The sequence below is a fragment of the Homo sapiens genome, chromosome 11 (genome assembly GCF_000001405.40).
Source record: "Homo sapiens chromosome 11, GRCh38.p14 Primary Assembly".
In the NCBI taxonomy this organism is placed as follows: Eukaryota; Metazoa; Chordata; class Mammalia; order Primates; family Hominidae; genus Homo; species Homo sapiens.
In genome coordinates, this window is record NC_000011.10 from 24,669,112 (window position 1) to 24,693,381 (window position 24,270).

Below are 24,270 nucleotides of genomic sequence, written 5' to 3' on the forward strand. Positions count from 1 at the left end.
CCAGCTCTGACAGTAACTACCTTTGTGACATTGGAAAAATGTTCTTTTTACTTTAACTTTCTCATCAGTAAAATTAGAAAATTAGCAAAAGCAATGTGTGTGCTCCCAGGTTTATCCAGAAGTGAAATGAGCAGTTTGTTCCTTACTACAAATGAATTATTTTTTGTCTTCCAAATTAATTATTTATTATTCTTGTGCCTAGTTGTATTCAGTGTTACTCAAGCATACTTTATCACCCAGTACTTTTCTATCTTATTCCTGGAATAAAAAATAAATTCTGTCTGGGCCTGCCGAATGCTTTCCTAATTGGTATTAATGATTTGCTTTTAAATTAGTTGTGCATTTTTATAGAACTAACCTTTGGGGATTACAATTAATGCTACAATTGTTTTAAACCATTAGAGGAAACTGCCAATGAATCTTTTCTATTTTTTTTTTCTTCTTTGTGTTCTGGGCTGTGAAAATGGTCACTCTCAGATATTTAAACATATTTAGATTTGTGGAGGAGAAGAGAGCACATTGTTTGGATTATTTAAAGCAGGCACAATTTATAGAAACTTTCAGTAGCTAAACTTCATTGGTTTTCTTGATAGGATGTTCACGTGCGGTATTTGAGGAATTGTGCTTTTGTACTGTGATGCAAAATAGGCACCTGGTCTCTTTCTAGACTTTTCGAAGGTGCATTCTTTTGGCTTAGGTCATGAATCTTAAAAAATCCTGTCCTGAAGCAAAGAGAGGAGAAATATAATTTCTATTGATTACTTTATGATCAAATTTCCTTTAACTATCTTTGGCTATGAACATGTCACTTCAAATAGCTAATGGTAGGACTCTAGGCATCTAGAGATGACAATAAATTGTATGTTTATCTGGCTACATTCTGAATTAAAAAAAACTAAAACATATTTCACTATGGCAATATATTTCCGATGAATAACTTCAGGTAAAAACAATGTAATAAGTTTACACTGAAGGAGTATAATGTAGTCTAGTTAATGCTCCTTAGATAAGCTGCTTAATATAGTCTTATTTTCTACTTAAAAATATAGTGTTCATAGAAGCAACACCAGAACTTGGAGTGAAAACAAGACTCAAGTTGCAGCTCTGGTATTGACAGCTCTGTGACCACAGATAAGTCACTTCATTTTCATTAGCATTAAGTAATTTTTTAAATGGCAATTATTTTATCTTTTCTTGTGTAAGGATGACTATGGTCATAATAACAGTCACAGCCACTACAAGTTAACCCTAGAATGTTGTCATTCCCATTTTATGGATGAAATAAAGCTTCAAATAGTTAAATATTAAAGATTAGTTATATAAGTATGTAAACTTAGGCCCGGTTGACTTCAGAATGTGAGTTTTGAACCTGTCTTATTTATCACATCAAATGGCAATTCTTTTAGTTGCATTTATATCACCTGCCAAATTGCTGCCTTAGAGTTCTTTCTAATAGGCTGTTTTTTTGAAAACACACAGACACACACATATTTATCTTGGGACAGATTTTTAAATATCTGTATTGATAAATTTCTAATCAGTTTTGACTTCCAGAGTTTTTAATTAATTTACAAGAAACTCTATTAACTTATATGTTATTTTTTAATTCCCAAAATTTTAGATTTTCTTTTATTTCATCAGAAAAATCAATTAAGTATTCATTTTAGTTTATGTAAAGTTGGTATTTAGATTTATATTTTTCTCAAAAAGACAAACCTTTTCTAGGATTCCTGACAAAATAATCCAAATTTCTCCTACTGATTTTTAATTAGTTTCTATGTAGCTATCTATCTGTAATTAATCCGATAATAATGTGAATGAATATAGTTTCATACTGCATTTTCATTTTCTTTTAAAGCTAATTCTCTCTCATTATTATTCTTTCTCAAAGATGTCCTGGGTATTGTGTATATTTTTATCCTAATGAGCATTAGAACAATTTTTTGAATTATTTTCAAAAATTTTGGTAATTTTTAAATTATCAAATGGTAATTAATGTCAATTCAATTTATATTATTAATTTAGGTTTGATAGAAATGACATATTTTTGGGCCTCATTCCAAGAAAAAATTGGTATTTGCTTACATTAAGAACTCTTCTATATCTGTGTAGATATTTTTTCTTCCTATAGATCTTATTATTGTTTTACTTATTTACAGCAGTTTTAGCAGTTTTTTGTAAATTTTATCTGAAGTTTTTCTCCTTGAACTGAAAATATTCCCCTCCCACAACTTTTTAATTGTCATAGCTGCCATTTTATTGATATATTAACATCTAAATTTTGTTCTTCTAAGTAACACTGCCTTGACCATATTTGCTAATGAAAACTTGATTTTAAAATAGTTGTTATTCAAACAGCTATAACAAAATGCTAGGTGTTAAAGTCTGAAGGATTTCTCTCTCTTTCTTGGCCAAATAATCTTTCACCTAATTATTTTTCTCTCTGTCTTACACACACACACACACACACACACACACACTTTCACAAATATTTCAGATATTTGTTACTGCTTACAAGTAGACTCTGATGTTCCCTCATGAATGTCTTATTCAAAGTGGGATAACTTTAACAGACACACAAGAGAGATGGCATTTTTATGCAAGAGAATCTATGAAGAGTCCCATTCCTTGAACATTACACGAACCTAGTTGGAACGTGTACTAAATCTTCCAAAACAGTATGGCCTTACTAATGACTATAAAACATAAAGGTAGCCCATGTAATCAATAGGCTAAATGAGTACGGGATAAATATTTTAATTTAGTTTTCAAAGTAATATTCAAGGACATTTACTTCCTTTTTCTTTTTCTTTTTGCTTGCTCTCAGTAGGAAAAAAAACCACTCAATTTGCCATGCATAGAGCTTATTAATAGACTGACAATAAATGTAGTGAGGGAATGGGCTTTTTGGCAAAATACATTCCAGAACAGCTGCATTTGTAACTGAGAGATGTCTCTCATGGTGTTTGATTTATTACATGCTGTACAATTTAGTTCTATACAAGTATTGAACCCACTTACACAGTGCTAGGAAATACTTATATTATTATATATTTGGAATTGTGTTATGATCTCAAATTTTGCTTGCTTACTGAAGTAGATTTTCTACTGAAACATTTAGTTTCTTTGAGAGTAGTTACAAATTGACCAGTATTGTAAAATTAGTCTCCCTGAGTACAATATGGTACTAAACATCAAAAGATACTTAAAATTGTAATTTTTGTGTATTTAGTTTATTTGCTATTATTTTGGGAAAGCCACAATAAATTAACTTTCACCTTTGGACAAGATAATTTATATTTATTACAAAATTACTGTATACATTAACATATGCTACTATATTTAATTCATTGTATTTAATTGTATAAATTCAACAACTCAGAAAACATTTTTGAGATAAGTCTCCTTAAGATGAAGCGCATTCTCCAAGATTCCATTGAAAACCCCACTAGATACCATTAAAAATAAAAAACTACTGTCTTTGCTTTCTGTGTTCATTGAAATATGGTCATGCATCTTTAGCTACAAGGATATATTCTGAGAAATGCATTGTCATGGGATTTCGTCCTTGTGCAAAAATCATAGACTGTACTTACACACACCTAGAAGGTATAGTCAACTACACACCTAAGCTATATGGTATATCCTATGCCTCCTAGGCTACAAACCTGTACAGCACATTGCTTTATTGAATACTTTACGTCAGGGGTCCCCAGTCCCTGGACCACAGACCAGTACCAATCCGTGGCCTGTTAGGAACCAGGCTGCAAAGCAGGAGGTGAGCAGTGGGCGAGTGAGAATTATTGCCTGAGCTCTGTCTCCCGTCAAATCAGCCGTGGCATTAGATACTCATAAGAGCCTGAACCCTATTGTGAATGGCACATGCAAGGGATCTAAGTTGTGTGCTCCCTATAAGAATCTCACACCTGCTGATCTAAGGTGGTACAGTTTAATACCAAAACCATCCTCCCAACATAACACCACCCCCACCCTTCCTCCATCCATGGAAAAATTGTCTTCCATGAAACCAATCCCTGGTGCCAAAAAGGTTGGGGACCACTGCTTTAGGCAATTGTAACATGATGATAAGTATTTGTGAATATAAGCATAGAAAAGGTAGAGTAGAAATACAGTATTATAATATTATGGAAGCACTGTCATATATCTGGTTATATCTGGTCTCTTGTTGACAAAAATGTCATGTGGTACACGACTATATATCCTATATATCCTATTTTTGATTTCATGAAGTCCAATGTGGCTTCAGAAACCAGTCCATGTCCCTTCTCTACACCAGCTTTAGTCCTTACATCTGGTTCTAGAAGGGCCCTAGATGGTCCTTGCAGGGTGCAGGGGTGGTCATGGGTGTTAAGAGATTTATACTTTGATTTGTTTCTTCAGCTAAACTTTCTCTCTTCTGTATTTGTAATTTAGAAGACACCTCCGTTTTCTTTTCTTCCTGAAATTGAGAAACCCTGTCTTGAATGTTTTAGCTCAGGGTTTCCAAATTCAGCAATATTGACATTGGGCCAGATAATTATTTGTTGGGGGAGCCTGTCCAGTGCATTGTTGGATGTTTAACAGATATGACATGTACACATGGTCAGCTGCATCAAAAATGATTTAGACATTACCAAATGTCCCCTGTAGGGCAAAATTGCCCACAGTTGAGGGCAAGGCATTAGCTCTTTCTTTTTAAAGCAAAGGTTCTTGAAATCTAGGATTATTTTATTGTTCTCACTTTCTTAACACATATTCACTTCCTAAACCATCTAAATTTGTTTTCTATGACTATGTTAGTACTGACATTTCTCATCAACATTGCCATTGAACTTCAAATTGATAAATCCCTTGAGTGCCTCTGTGTTTTGAATTCTGAAGTATTTAACATTGCTAATCATCTTTCAATTAATGAAACTATTTTTTATACAGCCACAGTTTATAAGATAATTTAGGGATGAGAACTGCCATTTATCATTAACTTACTATGTATTGGTTACTGTCCTGGACATTGTTTTCTACATATTTTTAATCTTTATAATAACTGTAGAGTGGGAATTAGTAGACTCATTTTACCATGGGCCTCTTGAAATCTACTTGACCTTTTCTCAGTTCAAATGCCTGTCATGTGTCCAGGCTCTCTGGTTCCACTTTTATTTCCCTTTGCCACTTTCAGGAGACAGCCTGTGACCTTCTGCTAGCCCCGACATCTCTTTCATCCTTTGGGTACTTTTATGTTCTGGTTACAGGATGAAATACGGTAACTTGATTTTCTCCTTCTATGAAGCTTTTCCAGACAAGTGTCCCACCTTTTCATTTTGTCACTTTACTGGGAATCACCAGGAGAATAACAACAACCAATGACACAAAAATAAGGTGAAGGAAAAAGCTCTAAAGTAAATGGGAAGTCATGGTGATTGCTATGATCTTTGTTTTCCCACTAATTTAAGATATGGACGGTGACATTTCTTCCCCTCTATTATCTTATTTAGTTCATATTTAAAGAAGGTCACATGCTTATATGCAACCTTTGTCCCAAACTTTATTCCCCTGTATTCCTAAACAACAAAATGCTACTGCCCATGGACACAGAGAAGAAAAAAAAAGTCTGTGAGATTTCCTATCTGCATCTTTGTTTCTCCTTCTTCCCCTTTTCTCCCTCTCCTGCCTGCTCCCTGCGCATTTAACAATTCCATATGTAATATGAAATGGCATTTCCTCTTATGCCTTTTCCCCACAGATGGGGTTGGATAAGAGGAATTTCAGAAATTTTAGATAGTCTTCCCTTTTTCCCAATGTGCAAGGAAACTATAATATTGCAATTTTAACTTAAAAATCTGAACTCAGTTTTTACCTAGAAATGTTGTTTGTGTAGCACATATATCGTGGCCTGACTGTACTTTTAAACTAGTTTCTAGGCAGTTAGCCAATCTTTTGAAATCTGCCTCCTTAAAGTTAGAAATTGTGATACAGTCCTATCTTTACAGTAGATGTGACGTTGAAGTTTAGAAAATTAGAGTGTGGTTCAGGTATGAGATAAATCAATGAACCCCTTGAAGTGGAATTGGGTTGTTTGAACACTAATTTTAAGCCATGGACCAACATCTAGGGGAAAATTAGATCCCATTTTCCTAACAGACATACAGAATCAAACACATTTGGCATTTCTGAACTTTGCAGTAGGATGCTTTAAAAATCTGTTTGCTATTAAGGGAACAGAAAAATCTCAATTTCCTTGAGAATTTTTATAGAAATTTTAGAGAACATAGATGATGTTGGGTTATTGGTACAAATTAGATGGTCAAATTTTTGCTTATTTGTTAAATTTTAGAGTTTTCACATTATGCAGTGTTTGTAAGTGCAGAACTGCTCAGCAGAAAATTAGCTTGCCATAGAGTACTTTCAAAATAGAACTGTCATGGTTAAAAATGGAATATTATTTCTTTACTCAACCTCTATATTTGAATAAAATTTGCTGTACATTTGAATAAAGTAAGCTCTACATTTGAATAAAAATTGCTGTATTAATACTCTAGTGAACATCAGTGGTAACAATAAGAAAAAACAATTTCACTATTTGAATGATACATTCAAGAAAAACCTGATTGGTCCTTATTATTACTATTAATATGTCTGCCCTACAAATCTCCTAATTAGTTTTCATATTTCTTTTTTTTATATTTATTTATTTATTTATTTATTTATTTATTTATTTATTTATTTTTGAGACAGAGTCTCGCTCTGTTGCCCAGGCTGGAGTACAGTGGTGCGATCTCGGCTCACTGCAACCTCCCCCTCCCGGGTTGAAGTGATTCTCATGCCTCAGCTTCCTGAGCATCTGGGATTACAGGTGTGTGCCACAACACCTGGCTAATTTTTGTATTTTTAGTAGAGACGGAGTTTCACCATGTTGGTCAGGCTAGTCTCGAACTCCTAACCTCAAGTGATCTGCCCACCTCAGCCTCCCAAAGTGCTATGATTACAGGAGTGAGCCACCATGCCTAGCCTCACATTTCTTAAAGCACAGAAAAATCAACACAATGCTAATGGCAGATTTTACTCTTCCTTATCTTATGTGGCATAATTGAAAGAGAAGATTAGAAATCCATGAAATAATATTAGATCATGAAAGAGCTTTAAAAGACAGGTAATTTTTATAGGCTGAAATTCTTTCTATAAAGCCCAAATGACTCCATTGATGTAGCTTCGGAAAAATCAAATAAATAATATATACACGGTTAATTGAAGATACTCTCCTTCAGCAGGTATTTTTACAAATTTCTTCTCCAAATCTCAAAGCATTAGTTAGAATATAATCCAAATGCCTCCAATAAAAGCTGTTTAACACTATCATTAAAGTGTAGCAATCCAGAGATTGTAACATAAATTAAAATGAGAAAAGTGAGAAAAAAGTGAATAAAACTGTCTGTTACAAATAGGATCAGATAATTTTTACTTAATGCAGAAATGGCACTAAACTTTTCTTAGTGGTATGCGAGATACTAATATCCTTGATTAAGCCTCTCATAATTTATTTTTGTTTTTGTTTGTTTTTTTTTTGTTTGTTTTTGAGACAGAGTCTTGCTCTGTCACCCAGGCTGGAGTGCAGTGGTGTGATCTTGGCTCACCACAGCCTCCTCTTCCCAGGTACAAGTGAATCTCCTGCCTCAGCCTCCCAAGTAGCTGAGACTACAGTCACTCACCATCATGTCTGGCTAATGTTTTTTATATTTTTAGTAGAGACGGGGTTTCTCCATGTTGGCTAGGCTGGTTTCGAACTCCTGAACTCAGGTGATCAGCCCTCCTAGGCCTCCAAAAGTTCTGGAATTACAGGCGTGAGCCACCATGTCCGGCCAAGCCTCTCATAGCTTTTACAGAACTTGTAATTCCACAAAAAATTCTAAATAATAACATTAAAAAATTTCATGGTGAATATAAGCAAGGGACTAATAAAATGTGTAGCTTTACCTTTTCTGCCTCCTAATGTATATATCAAATATATATCATTTTTTGTCTATTTCCACTTTGACAATTGTTATGAAAATCTCCACCTGTAGCTGCCTGGCACTATTGTAACAGCCGCCCTCATGCTTCCATTCTATTTTCTCGGAACTATTCTTCACTTATAATCCATCAAAATCTTTGAAATCATAAATTTCTCTCTACATTAACATTTTTGCCCTTATAATAAAAGAATAATTATGAAACAATAATAAAGTACCAATAATTTTCCTGTGCTTATAAAGCCTGCATGACTCTGTTCTTGTCTGACCTTCCAACTCATCTTGTGCTACTTCTGTCTTCGTGTAGGTATGGTAGATCTTTTAATGTCCTTGAACACTCAAGATTGTTCTGATCTCAGAGCTTTTCACATATTCTTCTCTATCAGGAATTCCAAAGCCCCTGCTCTTTGCAAATTAGGCATTTTTATATTCTTTAAGATTCCTTATGTCACTTTTCTGCAACGTCTTTCCTGACCATTCTAGGTAGGTCTGTCTATATCTATCTTTTTCTCATTGTTCTTTATTCATTTTCTTTAAATTATTTATCACAATTTGTAAATATATATGAACATGTTCATGTTACATGCATTCATACATATGTGTGTATATCTTTGTCTCTATCTAAAGAGAGAAATAGAGAAAGACAGAGAGAGGGCGGGGTGTGGTGGCTCGCACCTGTAATCCCAGCACTTTGGGAGGCCGAGGCGGGCCGATCACGAGGTCAGGAGATCGATACCATGATGAAACCCCGTCTCTACTAAAAATACAAAAAATTAGCCGGGCATGGTGGCGGGCGCCTGTAGTCCCAGCTACTCGGGAGGCTGAGGCAAGAGAATGGCGTGAACCTGGGAGGTGGAGCTTGCAGTGAGCCAAGATAGTGCCACTGCACTCCAGCCTGGGCGACAGAGCGAGACTCCGTCAAAAAAAAGAAAGAAAGAAAGAAAAGGGAGGAAAGGAGAAAGGGGGGGGGGGGTGATTACTACGTAGCTATGTGTATTATTTTTTGTTGTTTTTGACTTTTTTTATTTGACCATTGCTAACTCCATAAAGGCAAGGATCATACTGGGTATTTTAATCACTAAAATGTATCCAGTGTCCAGGACAATCAATGGCCCATAGTAACCATTCAATACGTTTTTGTATTATCTGTGGATGAATGAATGAAAGGAATGAATAAAAGAATGCATATCTAATTTACACCATTAGGTGATGATAAATCAACCCTGGGAATTTCAATCCAAACCTTTCTGCTATGCAAGGATGGGCCACAAACCCCAGCAGAATTTCCACATCCTTGTATAGCATTTCCTTAGTCTCTCCCTTTTGCTGTATTCCCAGTGTGCTTGTTATAAGTGTCCTAAATCAAATATTTAATTTGACACTCTGAATTAAACACCTGTGAAAAGAAGGAAAAAATATTAAAAGAAAAAAAAAACTGAGATTGTGTCTTGTGTTTTATGTTCCCAACTACTTCTAAGCTACTCAATAGCAGCCTTCAATTTTAGACATAATTTACTTTTAAGAAAAATATCCCAGGTATCTGACATTAAAGCAGGTCCTTAGGTAGATTCTCACTTTAATACATGCCTATTAACTTTGGAATGTATCAGAAGAGAACAAGGTTGTCTCAAAGGCATGACTTTCAGTCCCTCTGGAAAGCACAGCACGTCGCCCAATGTTAATTTAAGCTTGACAAATGAGAGGTGAATTTATTTGTAAGAGAGTTCATATAATCATTGAGAAGCATTTATTCTTCCTTGAAAGGTTATTTTCTGCAAAATAAGATATAGTGCTGCGTCCAGGCATCCAAGCCTGCACCGCAAGAGAACAATCCTTGGCATTTAGACTAAGTGTTATGTCCTCTAGCTAGGAAATGAGTTGTGAGAGGTATTTTTCATTTCTAACTTCTGATTATAATAACATTGTCAGTAAGCTTATATGGAGACGGCCACTGCTAAGCAGGTTTATTTTCACTGGGTCATAAAGTAAAATATGTGTAGAAAGAATTCAGGTAGTTCCTTAAAGAAACCTTATGTCATAGGAATACAGTGAGCCTCATCAGTGTCAAATAGATAAGAGCTCATATCTCAACTCTGATCTTTATTGCTTTATTTACTCAAATATTAGAGCATACCTTTCTCATAATGTGTTAAAATTTTTCATGACATGTTAGGTATTCAACACATGGTTACTTCAAGTGATAAAAACAATAATAATGTAGAGAAGTTACATTTCACAAAACACCATAGAACTGAGATATGAAAATGTAAAAATTTCAGTATATTTTCTTAATTATTTTTATTTTATTTATTGTTTATTTAAAGAATATTAACTAGACCTTACTGTATGACAGACACTAAGCTAGGTACAAATTGTTGAATAAAACCACAGCAGTGTTTTCCTTTTTGGAGTTACACTTTACTTTCTATTGCTTCCATTTTAAGATTTTTTAAATTAACTATTTTAAAAATCCTTTATTTTTAAAAGATATGGTAAGATTAATATTTAACTTTTCCAATATTATCATTCTCATTCCTTTTCAAGTGACACAATAGTTAGAATTTGTCCCCTACCTTTAAGAAAATCATGGGACTTGTAAGAAAAGTGCGAAATATAGGTTTCTCTCCAATGTCTTCCTGTTGGGACCTGTAATTACTCACCATAATCCTTACCTACTAAGACTTCAATCCTTAGTTCAGTTGTATCTGCCACCAGAATATAAATTCCTAGCTATAGGAATTGTGTCTGCCTTATTTGCTGTTACATACTCATAATATACACTCACTGGATAACTATTGAATGAATGGATTGCTGCTCACTGTGCTGAGCGATGAAGTGCTATTCCTTGGATACCCTGCCTTCTCCCAGAAGATGCTGACAGGAGAAAAGGGAAATTAACATCCCCATTCTTTGTAGACATTGGCATTTACAAACAGTAGGTGATCAATTCATACCGCTTTACTGGTAGTGGAGGAGCAAGGAGAAAAGGACAAAAGCTAAGGGAAAGAAAAAATAAAAACTATAAAAGAAAATAAAAGGAGAATAGTGGCCAGTGTAAATTCTCCCCTTCAGGCATGCAAAAAGAAAGGCACAGAGTTGCTAATGTCCTTCTGGCAGAAAAGGAGCAAGGCTCATTACTTTCACACTTTGTAAAGTTGCTCCCAGCTTCCCTGTGCTGCTTCTGTAGCAGCACTAGACTTGCTTAGATGGCAAACATGTCAGAAGGGTTTTACATTTTTATAAAAGATTGCCCTAGGTCCTCTCCACAAAGCACGATTAACAGTACCCTGAATGTGCTTCCTCAGTGGGAAGGCTTTGTCTAATCCAACCCAGACTTCTCAGTGTCCCAGTGTTCCTTTAACCACTTCATTTCCTACAAGTGGAAAGAAATGATCAATGCACTGAAGGTAGGTGTCTCAATGTCATACAGGGAATGAGAGAAAGATCTTCAGTTCCTCTATTTTCTGTCTGCAGAATTGATGAGTTAGATTTCTTCATTGTGATTGGAGATAATTAGCAGGAAAAATTTTGGTGTGGGGCCAGTAATAACAGTCCTTTATGTTCAACACAATTATAATGACTGGCCAGAAAATTCATACACCTGATCCGAAATACTACTAACAAATTCCTTACGAAATATATTATTATATTCATTTTATACATATAGGAATCAAGGCTCAGAATCTAAATGCAATTAACTTGCTCAAGGTCAACGGATAATCTACCTGACTTCAAAGTCCATACGTTTTCCACTTGTAAAAATGCTTCTCAAACTTTGGACTGCTGTAACAACAACTGTCATGAAAAATAAAGGAGCTGAACTTGAACACTCTTTATGAGTCTTTAATTTCTTTCTTTATTTTTTTTTTTTTTTTTTTGAGACGGAGTCTCGCTCTGTCGCCCAGGCCGGACTGCGGACTGCAGTGGCGCAATCTCGGCTCACTGCAAGCTCCGCTTCCCGGGTTCACGCCATTCTCCTGCCTCAGCCTCCCGAGTAGTTGGGACTACAGGCGCCCGCCACCGCGCCCAGCTAATTTTTTGTATTTTTAGTAGAGACGGGGTTTCACCTTGTTAGCCAGGATGGTCTCGATCTCCTGACCTCATGATCCACCCGCCTCGGCCTCCCAAAGTGCTGGGATTACAGGTGTGAGCCACCGCGCCCGGCCTAATTTCCTTATTTCTCTAAGACCATGTTTCTAACGTTCTGTGATCTTGGGAGCCTTCTCAGACATTCATTCATAGAGACATTCTAAGAAAGACTTAGGAGGTTAATAATTACTCAAGTTATAAGTGTAAGAGGAGATCTTTCTTTTGAGCTTTTCAAATCTAAGGAATTCTCACCCTTATGGCTCCTATAGTTTCTATTTATAATGTCCTTACCTTTCTTTCCTCATGCATAGGAGACAGTGGTAGGAACGAAATAGATATTAGATTTTCAGTATCACATATTGGTAAATTATCTAACATATCTGTTCTAATTGTAGTCTTAAATGTATTTTGGATTTATCGATGTCTTTCCTTCATCATAAAGAAATGAGCTATCTAGTTTACACTAAGGATAATTAGCTTCATTTTTAACACATCTTGAATTAATAGACTGGATATTTTCAATGCTTACATTAATATGAAATGTTATAAACTTCACTTTTCTCTCTTCAAAATTCAATTTATTTTGTACTATACACTATTTACATTAGTTCAGCAAGCATCACAAATCTAATTTAATTGGATTTTATGGCATTTTTCCAGGAATAAATTGCATTTTTGAAATAAAAAAAATCACCCCATGCTAACAGGTACTTTGGTTAAAATGCAAAACATCTACATGCATGCAGAAACATTTGTGGGTTTTCTTTAGCCAGAAAGAAGAGTTCTTATACTATCACAAATTATTTCCATTGATTTTCCTTATCTACATAACATTTTAAAAAGTTTATCTCAGAATAAGCAAAGGTGTCTATCTCAGCACATCTGAAAAACAGTCTTGAGTTAATGACGATTGAAAATAGTTCTAAGATATTCCACCTTCATCAACTTTTACTGTAAATGTGGTAAAGACTGTGCAACTAATACATTATATGTTAAAAGAGTAGAGCAAGGCTGGGTGCCATGGCTCACACCTGTAATCCCAGCACTTTGGGAGACCTAGGTGGGCAAATCACTTGAGGACAGGAGTGTGAGACCAGCCTGGCCAACATGCTGAAACAGTGTCTCTATTAAAAATGCAAAAATTAGCCGGCTACGGTGGCAAGTGTCTGTAATCCTAGCTACTCGGGAGGCTGAGGCAGGAGAATGGCTTGGACCTGGGAGGCAAAGGTTGCAGTGAGCTGAGATCGTGCCACTGCACTCCAGCCTGGGTTACAGAGCAAGACTCCACCTTGGAAAAAAAAAAATGCAAAAATGCAAATTCAGTAGGTTCAGTGTGTATATGTATATATACACACTGAACCCTACTGAATTTATATATATATATGTGTGTGTGTGTATATATATGTGTATGTGTATATATATATATACACATATATATACACACACACACATACACATATATTTTAAATCCATATTAAGGAAGGTGTTGATGACTAAGAACTAAGAATAATAATGTTAGTGGCCAGGTGCAGTGACTCATGCCTGTAATCCCAGCACGTTGGGAGGCCAAGGCAGGTGGATCACGAGATCAAGAGATCGAGACCATCCTGGCCAACATGGTGAAACCCCATCTCTACTAAAAAGACAAAAATTAGCTGGGCGTGATGGCGCGTGCCTCTAGTCCCTGCTACTCGGGAGGCTGCGGCAGGAGAATCACTTGAACTCAGGAGGCAGAGGTTGCAGTGAGCCGAGATCAGCTTGGGCGACAGAGTGAGGCTGTCTCAAAGAAAAAAAAGAGAATGTTAGTGATTGTGGGAAAGCCAAATATGTGCTCTCATTGAACATCATATCAGCTCTTAACTACTCAGGAGATGGCAGATTAAAGATCTTTCCAAGCTTTTCAGTTTTCCTTTTTTGGTTTTGTAACCAATATTTACAGAATTGTCTTCACTTATTGGAAGACAGGCCGGCAGGCTAGACAAAGAGAAGTGTTGAACCTTATGCTGCTTCATTTCACTACATTTTTTAGTCATTTCTAAACTTCTTGAGCAAAGACTAAATTAAAGACTGTGAGTACTTAAAGGATTATTTTGGAGTTGAATTAATGACACGATTCTTGTCACATATCAGTAGGTAGTACAGAAGATCAGCTTGACTGATTTAGGGGGCTTCTTTATTTAGGAGTGTTGATTTCCTGAAACTCCTCTGATAATCTGACAATTTACTGAAAACATGTTCATCTAATTTCACTTTATATTTCAACATTCATTTCTACTCACTTTTAGTGGTAATAATTTTAAGATGTCATTAATATAGATTCTTAAATTTGCATAATTTATTTTTCTTCTCTTTTTACATCAGTCTTCAAAATTAGATGATAGCTTCCATACCATACTTTACATAGCATATTTAATCATGATACTCATTAATCCATCAATTCATTCATTAGAGACATTTGCCTTTAACTAAGGAGATTTGGTTTATTTGACCTCATGGACATAATTTATATTTCTCTTCAATGGCACCTACACATCACCTACTCAGCAGGAGTGCCTCTTGCACTTACCACTGCCCCTAAGCTGACTCATCTCACTTCCTTTAATAGGTCTATTATGATAAATCTCAGTTCATGCTGTTTGTCTGAAGGTTCAACTGGCATTGCAAACACAGAAAACCAAAACAGAACCCACCATCCCTTTATTGTTACCTCCAATAAGTATGTAAGATCCCATACTGACCTCTTGATCTCGGGGGACAGACTCACATAGCAATCATTTATTTTGCCTGATATATGTTCTATATCAAAATATTAGTCAAACCTTGTGAAATATACCTGTATAATACCTCTCCTTTGTTCTCCTCCCCTCAATTTCTACTGCTTCAATCTCAGGTCCAATCTTCAAAACTTCTCTTTATAATGTTTTCAATAGCCTTCTAATAGGCCTCCCAATCAGACCCCTTTTCCTTGTATTAAATTCATCACCTGATCATCAGTCTGAGCTTTATGAATATTTAATTTGTTTGCATCACTCTACTGCTCAAAACTATCTTTTGATCCTAATTGCCCATAGGAAAAAAAATAAACTTTTTAACCTAGGCCTCTAGATGATCATTTTTCAATCCTATTTCATCTGAACTTCCCTTTACTTCCTTTAGCCTTCACAACAACTAATTTACATATTTCCCTGGTTTCTCCCAAGCTCTTTCATGGATGTGCATTTGCTTGTAGTGTTCCTTCTGTCCTACAGATTTCTGCCTCTGGTTTCTTAGGACTAATCCAATTTTTGTGGCTGTGGCAGATAATGTTTCTTCTGTGCCCTGAGCACTCATGATTCAAATGCACGCTGATGGTGTGCTGTAAGCTTCAGGGAGCTGAAGCCATAGGAACCAAAGGAACGGTGCTCAATCAATAACAGATAGAAATTGGAGGGAAAAGTATCCTGGTTTTCTTGCCCTTATGGGAGGACAACTCTGAAGTGCCTGCTTTGCCAGCCAGTGGAGGTCTCCAGCTGTCTTGCTCTCCATTTGCTCACAATGTCAATCTTCTCCTTAAGTCAACTTAATTGGTTTCCTTTTTCTTCCTGTCTCACTTCCCAGCTCCCCAACTAGGAATTTATGGGATCACCACTCAAATGATTCATATCAGATCCTGTATCAGGGCTAACATAAAGCAATAGTTATTCTTAAAAGTTACCTCCATGCAGCCTTCCTGGATTTCGGTAGCTGGGAGTGTTTTCCCTCATTTTGGATGCTTATGTGTTTCTCTTAAAGTGGATGCTTATGTGCTTCTCTTAAAGTGTCACCACTTACTGTATTTTGCTCTGTGTGTGTGTGTGTGTGTGTGTGTGTGTGTGTGTTTTCCATATCTATCCAAGTTTTCTCTATGGGAGAGAGTTGTCTAATTGTTGGGTCACTAATTGGCTGCCTTTTCTCCTAGGATCCTGGCCTCTTGTCACAGTTTCTAGGGCCCATCCTTAACTTAACCTTACATAACTTCCAAAGCCAACTTTCTTACCAAAGCTGCCATCGAGAAAACCAAATTTATCTGTTTTTCTTTTGAAAAGCACTTTGCACATTACAGATTGATGCTGAGATGAATTCTAGGGGCATGGCAAGTGACTACCTGCAACTAAAAACCAACGTTAAAGTCCTTAGCTCTTCATGATCTTGCACCTGCCTAATTACTATCTCTTCTCATCTCTTACCTCTACCCCACATACACCCTCCTCACACAGCACACTGAAATGTTAGCGTGACCCTGCAAACCTGCAGATACCACATGTTCTTCCCACTGTTCCTCTGCATGTGCTATGTCTTCTGGCTATGACAAGGTGAACATTTACTCCTCTCCCACACTGTTACTAATATCAAACATTCTCCTCCTAGAAATCTCTGTAACTGCCCGCCCAACAAAGCCTACTTGGGAATCTACTCATTCCACTCCTGCAGCATCTGGGTTATGCCTCAGTCATTTCATTGATCATGATAAATGACTTCTTGTCATGGTTTTCCCATGAAATATCATAAACTAAGAAATATTTCAGGACAGAGATTATGCTGTGTTCACTAATGTGTCATTAGTGCTACAACAACAATTATTTATGTTATTTATGGTAGAGATAATACATGCTTGTTGAATGAATAAATAAATAGTTTCCTAAGAAATTTAATTGTGAGTCTTGGCCACCTAATGTCCTTCCTTACCTACTCCCAGATATTTTTGAAGAAGCATCAAAGCATTATTAGATTATCCTATATTTAGTTGAACTAGAAATGAGGAGTATCATGCTTGATTGACACTCTTATATAGTGTTGTAATCATTCCTCTCAAATTTACGAAATCATTTCACTCTTCTTTCTTGAAGGACTGAGTAAGCCAAACATGCTGGCAATTACTGAGATGGGGAAATTCTATCTTAAGCTATATTTTCAGTATGCAGTAAAATACTGTGAATGGATATCTTATAAGGCATTTGTAGTCATGCTTTTGATAGAATTTGAAGGAAAAAGTGAACTCTGCAAAAAAAAAAAAATTGGCTAAGTTGCTTACTTTATCATTTGTAGTGGATTGTGGCAGTTTCTAACATTTTCTTCTCTAGGTCATATTCTCCAAGTCACTGTAGTGACAACTAGTGCTTGGAGCATGTTGCTCACAAGGCAGTGCCATGACATAAGCAATTCATAGCTATCTTTGGGATACTTCCATGCCAGTAATAGAATACAATAAAAAAGCCACCTTAAATATGTCCTCAGAAGACCCTGTCCCCCATTCGTACAGTTAAACATCCCAGCAAATGCATCTTTTAAGATCACTCTCTTACTGTGTTTTTATTCTAAATGTGTAAGTATATCTGTTCAAAATTCATCTGCATTTGCCACACCGTTCAATCTCTTCTCTGCAGCCCACCTAAATAGCTTCACATCTGTTATTTATAAAGGGAATACCTACTAATTCTTAGGAGTTTGTTTTCTCTCATGCTTGCGTCTATTTCTGTTGGCAGTAGAAATTGTCCAGTGCTAATGAGAACAGCGATTTCCAAAATTCAGCCACTTTTAGGTGAATACTATATAATTTTTATTAACTTACCTATGCTTTAACTTTCTCACCTCATGACTGCCCTTCAACATTTTATGTTAAAGGTTTGACCCTGCTCATGCTGCTTCCCCGAGAGTTGCTTGTTAACATTGAAAATTTATATTTGAAACTTTCCAGCATAATTTTAGCAATCATTTGACCACTGGTTACCCAAAGACAACTTGGTCACTGGTGCCCCAAGGCGACCAGCAGTGTTGTGCCACATAAAATGAATTATGATTAAGATTTTAAGTGTCTGAGATATTATTAGGAAAGAGAAGAAAAACATTACACTACAGAGTTGTCCATGCAGCTAAATTTGGTCTGTTTTAAACAAAAATCTTTATGTAGAGATATCTGTTCTTACTGTAGTTTTAGGTCCCTAACATTTTGATTTAAAATGTCCTTATGTATAAAATGACATATGCATAAAATGATCATTGATTTTTAAATGCCCTTGTGTGACAAAATAAAAAAAAAATTTGAAACTTACACTGATGACTAAATATACTTTTCGGGAATTTTATCAGTCTTTGAATTTCAAAAGTAGGGAAATCATTGTCATAGGCAAAAATCATTCTTGATAAACAAAGTATGAGGTAGAATTACACAGAATTTACTATGTGCTTGATCCTGTTTTAAATATGAGGATTAAATGAATTTAATCCTTGTAATAAACCTGTGAGAATGGTACCTTTATCAGGTCCGTTTTACACACTAAGGTTTAGAGAGGTTGTATAACTTGTCCTAGGTCACAGAGCCGCTAAGAAGCGGAGACAGAGTTTGAACTGGTGGAGTTTAACTGTGATCATCATATCTTTCTTAAGTTCAAATGTTACAAAAGGCAGAACTTATTTGCAAACTTGGCACCCCTACTTGGAGTAATTGTGCCAGTTTAGTCTTGATTTTCCCCACTCTATTTCCTGGCATCATTGACTTCCTCCACTCATGCTCAGGCATAACTGAAACTCAGTAACATCTGAATGCCTTTTCCCCAGAGCTGGTCTGAAGATCTAAATATATTTGAATCAATTAGATTAGTGCTTGAGATAAGAAATCACTAAAAAGCTGGTAGGCATTAACATATTTTTTTCAAAAGAAGAGCTTACCCAAGCCTCACTTCTCTAAGTTCTCTTCCTGGGCACAGCACCCCCTTAGTTTCCTGCCTGGAGACAAGTTTCGGCTTGGAGCCTGGCTTCACTAAGTCTCTCTTTCTCTCTCTCTGGCTCTCTGTCTCTCTTTCTCTCTCTCTCTCTGTCTCTGCCAAACAATGTCATTCTCCCCTTGAGCTAGTCACTGGTCAAGGTCAGGTATATTCTCTTTTTCAGGGAGTTAAGTTTATAATGATAATAACAAGAGAAACATTCTGAAAGAGAAACAACAAAAACAAGCATTCAGTGATGTTTACAAAGTGTCACATACTGTCTTACACTGTCTTAATGCTTTATATACATAATCTCATTTAGTCCTCACAAGAACCCAGTTACCATTGTGATCGTCATCTTACTAATAAAAGAAACAAATACAGAGACATTAAGCACTTGCCCAATACTATGTAGCTAGAGAATTGTATGGTCAGGATTTACCCTCAGGAAGACTGTTTTGGAAGCACTGGGGAACTACCGTGAGAAAGTCAAGAATAGCATTCTGTTATTTATTCTGTGCCTCTCCTGAAAGTCTGATAATTGGAGTTCAAGTAGACATTTGAGATTTTTGTCTTTGCATTATAATTGATTTTGACAAGTAGATCTCTGTCATAAATATCATGATAAGCAGGCTACTATCCAACTCCCAGGTATGACCTTTTTATTCACTTTTTGATGGATCTCTTAAAATCTTATTTCAGGCTCAGAAACTGGAACCTACCACTTGCTGACACTTTTACCACTATTGACTCAATGGTCTGGTAGATCACTGCATATAATTAGTACCTGGTTTCCTGTTTTGTTTATTTATTGAGAAATCTGTAGTCACATAAGAGAGCCCTAATATCATTTATATTACTGGGAGTTCATCTCTCACGTGTCATCATACCTCTTGGGTACCACACTTTGTAGCCATTTATACAACCTGAGGTAGGCTCTGCTATCCCATTCTCAAATCTAACCCATCTCCCAGCTAGAAGATCTAGTTAAAGATCTCAGCCCTCCCTCCCTGTATTGTCTCACTGTAGTCAACATACTACCCGTGGTGAATCTGTACGAGTCTGTAGCAACTCAATTCTTGTCTCCTTGGAGGGAGGAATTCAGCCAAGGGGTATAAGGCAGAGGGAGAGACCGAGGCAAGTTTTAGGGCAGGAGTGAAAGTTTATGAAAACGTTTTAGAGGAGAAATGAAAGGAAGTAAAGTACACTTGTAAGAGAGCCAAGGGTGGGACTTGAGAGATCCAAGTCCTGTCCAGCCCTTGAATTGGGGATTTTTTATACATTGGCATGGTTCCAAGGTTTGCATTTTTTTCCCCCTAATTCTTCCCTTGGAGCAGGCTGTCCACATGTGCAGTGGCCTCCAAGCATTTGGAAGGGACAGCATGCACAGTGTATTTACTGAAGTTGTATGCATCCTTACTTGAAGCACTTTTCTCTTACCAATTGAGCATTCTCAGAGAAGGGTCCTATACCCATTAAACTCTGTTATTTTGTCTCTTAGTGCGTATGCTTGAGCCTGCTCACCCAGCTCCTGAGTGCTTATTGGGAAGCGGCTGATCGCCAGCTCCAGGTGCTTTCTATCTATTGGGAGACTGTTTTCTCCTGGCACCAGCTGTGACCAATTTCTATTTTAGAGAGCCAGTTTAACAACTGCTTGACCATCACTTGATAGTGGCCTGACATTCCTGAGACTGGGTGGGGTTGGGGAGGACTCTTTTGTCTTGCTCATGTCTGAACTGCTACCTACTTTAACAGACAGACCTTTATCTAACTTTATTTTTAATTTCCCCCATGTTATATGCCTATAGATATACATTATTTTATCTTTGACAATTTAGAACTGAGTTATGTTCCTGACCCAAAACTGTTCTTTCTTAAGCATTCACTCCTTTTTCATAACGCTTTCCATTGCTACCTGATTTTTTAAATATTTCTCTCTGTATCCTATGTAGACAAATTCTTACTTCTCAACCCCTTTACTAATTTTCTTTCCAGAATTTTATAAACTGTAAAAATAAGGGTAGTGAGGATTCTTAGAGAATATCTAAGAATGTCTGGAAAAGGTGTTTAGCTATTTTCTTATACATGTATTTCTCTATTTTTAGCAGGGATGCTAAGACACTGGCCTAATGGGAGGAATAGATTAGATGAGAAATCAATTATCTTATCTCTGTGATATAGGATTCCCCTCATTATAGTAACTATGTTAAATTTTTATAAGATTTTAATTTTGTAGTGCAACATATTACATTAAATTAATAATCACATTATTATTTTTAATTAAAATGTCAGATACCTCAAACTTTTGGAAAAAAAATAAAAAGTCTCTTTTCCAAGGCCTTGCTACAAGTCTTCAAGGTAAGAAGGCTTTTAATGAATAGACTCTGCATACCAGGGTTTATTTGTTTGTTTAAAGCAGTTTTGTTTCTAGATTTTGTTTTAATTTCACTTTTACAAAAGCTCATAGAAGGTGATTTCCAGGGAAGTTAGAGACCTAAGCTCTGGATCCTCCTGTTGCACAAACTTATTTTATGGTCCTGAGAAGTATCCTATCAATGTGTTCACATGTTCTTGGATTTTTGTAATATTTGCTAAAGTAAAATATTTAAACTTCATTTGGTTAAGATTACAATTTATTTCCACTCTGATATCCTTCAAAGTTGCTTCCTTTTGTGTCTAATATTATTTTTGTAATAGAATTTTGGTGATCCATCTAAAAGAAGAAGTTGAGTTGAGGCTATATAACGGAGTATGTGTATATAGCTCACAGTCAATTATGTTACTCTCTACCAACTGTAGTGAGAATAGTATACTCCTATCACCAACTCTACCAGCTTCTGGGGTTATGATTGGAAGGTACAGGCTAGTAGACTAAACAGGAACTGAACATGTTCTAGATGCTGAACAGCCAAAATTTCTCATAGTGGGAGAGAAATAATTTTTGAAAGATACAGAACCAGAAAATGTAATTTGTAAACTGCTTCATTTAAGAGCACAAATTTTAAGATGATAATTCAGTTTTCATCAATGTCTAGATGTTTTCTGTTTAACAACAACATAGATGTTGTTTTCTGTTTAAAAATAATGCAGTTTTCATAATTATAAACATATAGATTCTCTTAAATTGTGTCAATGGGAATGTCAGGAAATAGAATTTATCAGAATTCCTATGTTTTTTTACAGCAAAAAATCTGTAACAATACAACAAACAACATGTGTATTGCCACATGTTCTAAGCAGTCCATTGTTTCAGATCATGTTGTTCAGTACCTGATACGTTTTATCCTGAAGATATCTGGAAATCTCAGTCAAAATTGTAGAGAAGTTACCTACAATGCAGAGAAATTACCTCACAAAATTAGTGTTCCCTTAAAAAAATTTACATATTCATCTCTAAGCTAATACTAATAGCAAAAATAGTGGTATATTAGGTAATTTACTAATAAAATAGTATCTACTTCTATAAATTTGAAAATGCTTGTGGTTAGTTTTGTAAAACTTGTGAATCATTTTTTTCTCTTTCAAATAAATACCCATTTTTCCCTCATATTCTGTTTTTTTTTTTTTCAAAGTAACCCCTGTATTTCAAGACCCACCAAATCTGGACTTGCTCCTAAAATAGACAGATAGGAAGGTAAAGTAAGTGTCTCCTTCAGGTATATAAAACCTAGAATTTGGAATATTTCAGAATTTTATGGAATAAGATATTTTTATGAGAACAATGTTATGAATAAATAAGAAAAAGAGCAAAGAGTACCATTGTATTAGAAAGATGGACTGGTGGAAGGAGACTTAACAAGTTGTTATTTGGGAACTTGTATAACTTTGGAAAAATATTTATATGTGTGATGTCTGGCCCTGAACACTCTTTGATGTTAACTCTATGGGTGGCAACCTGTGAGCTACCAAATGGGACTCTTTTACTCATGTATTTTTTGTGACTTGGGGTCATGATTCATAAGGCCAGCATTCACAAGAATAAAGAGTTCAAAGATTCATTTAGTAGATTCATGACAGAATAGGAATATTCTTACTGCACTAATTATGCAATTATTTTTATATAGGAAAACTAACTAAAATATTATATGTTTTCTAAACTTCACAGATAAAATGATCTCATATAGATTATTTCTGAATAGGTTATATTCATGCTTACATGGCATTTTACGTTTTTTTTTTCTATTCTTATTTCTTGATATTCACTATCACCCACTTATGCATCAGCTTCTTCAGGGATGGTGGAATTCTAAAGCAATCTAATATTTTACAGAGATCAAAAGAGTTTTGTTGTGAAGAAGTAATTGTTGTTACAGAGCTTCACAGGTTACCCAAATGGCCCCAACTCATCCTATGCAGAAGCAAAAAGTGCTGAAAAATGGCCGTATCAGGTTCTACGTTCCTGCAACTTACTAATAAGTGCTGGCAAAACAAATAAGTCACAAGCAGGTGATACAAGTAAAAACAAGGAAAGTAGTAAAGGCTATTCTAAGAATATACGGTCTTTTTTAGCATGAAGTTAAGCTTTTCAAACCCAAGTTTTCAAAGAAAGAAAAGTAGCCAAAATATGAGTTTTCTGTTCACTGTAAAAAGAAAAAGTGGACACTTTTTTGTTACACTGTAACATTACACGTAGTACCAAAAAATTGAAATAAATGTGATATCTCTGCAGCATATTTAGTGGCATTATTTTACATTCAGCCCAGTTTCTTCATCATAAAAGTACATAGCTAAAAAGTCAACAAGTTTTTTCAGCCACATATTGTGCCATTTGGCTATATATTGAGAAAAAAATAAATGAGTTTTTTCTTACACTATACATAATTAAGTAGAGGTTGACACAAATTAAACTAAGTGTTACTCTTAATTCCTAATTTAGGAGAATATTAAATTATTACCTTAAAATTCATAAAACAAAGAAAATACATTTAAGGATAAAAACACATGGCATTTTCCCTTCAAATAACTGCATATGGGAGTCTATTTGATTTTCACAGCTGCTATTTCATTTTTTTCTTTGACATTACCTCATTTTTGACTGACAAGTTTTTTTTTATGTTTCTCCCTAGATTTTACAAAATGAGCCTAGATTATATGTTCTTCACTAAAAGTGAGCAAAAATATATTTTTGCTACCATACCAGGTACCATTGAAATAACTGATTAAGAATTCACAGTCTTGGCTTTCTCTTATTTAGTATATTGTTTGATTTTTACAGTTTGATTTTTCTTCCAGTTTTCTTCATTCTTCTGTATTCCTGCATTTTTTATTCTTGTTCAATAATATCATTTTGTTGTTGTTGTTTTTAAGCATGGTTTTTATACAGCATTGGGTGATTTATTGTATGACTATGCCACTAGAATGGCAATATTTTCTGTGAAATTTAACATAATACATCACAGAGGCAGCTGATCTTTTTCACAGGACTATCTAAGAAATAAACCTTCATAAATGATAGGATA

General features: G+C 35.5%; 1 protein-coding gene across 9 annotated transcripts in view, besides 1 other annotated feature; it reads left to right on the top strand.

Moving 5' to 3' along the window:
* The window catches only part of LUZP2 (leucine zipper protein 2), a 585,586-nt gene that overhangs the window by 172,059 nt on the left and 389,257 nt on the right, over positions 1–24,270 (top strand). The gene's annotated exons all lie outside the window — the stretch shown is intronic.
* Positions 10,666–11,590: an enhancer, noted in NCBI's record as "NANOG hESC enhancer chr11:24701323-24702247 (GRCh37/hg19 assembly coordinates)". NCBI's record gives its function as "activates a minimal SCP1, AML or CMV promoter by ChIP-STARR-seq in primed H9 embryonic stem cells {active_cell/tissue: H9 hESC(primed)}" and the evidence as "EXISTENCE:reporter gene assay evidence [ECO:0000049][PMID:30033119]".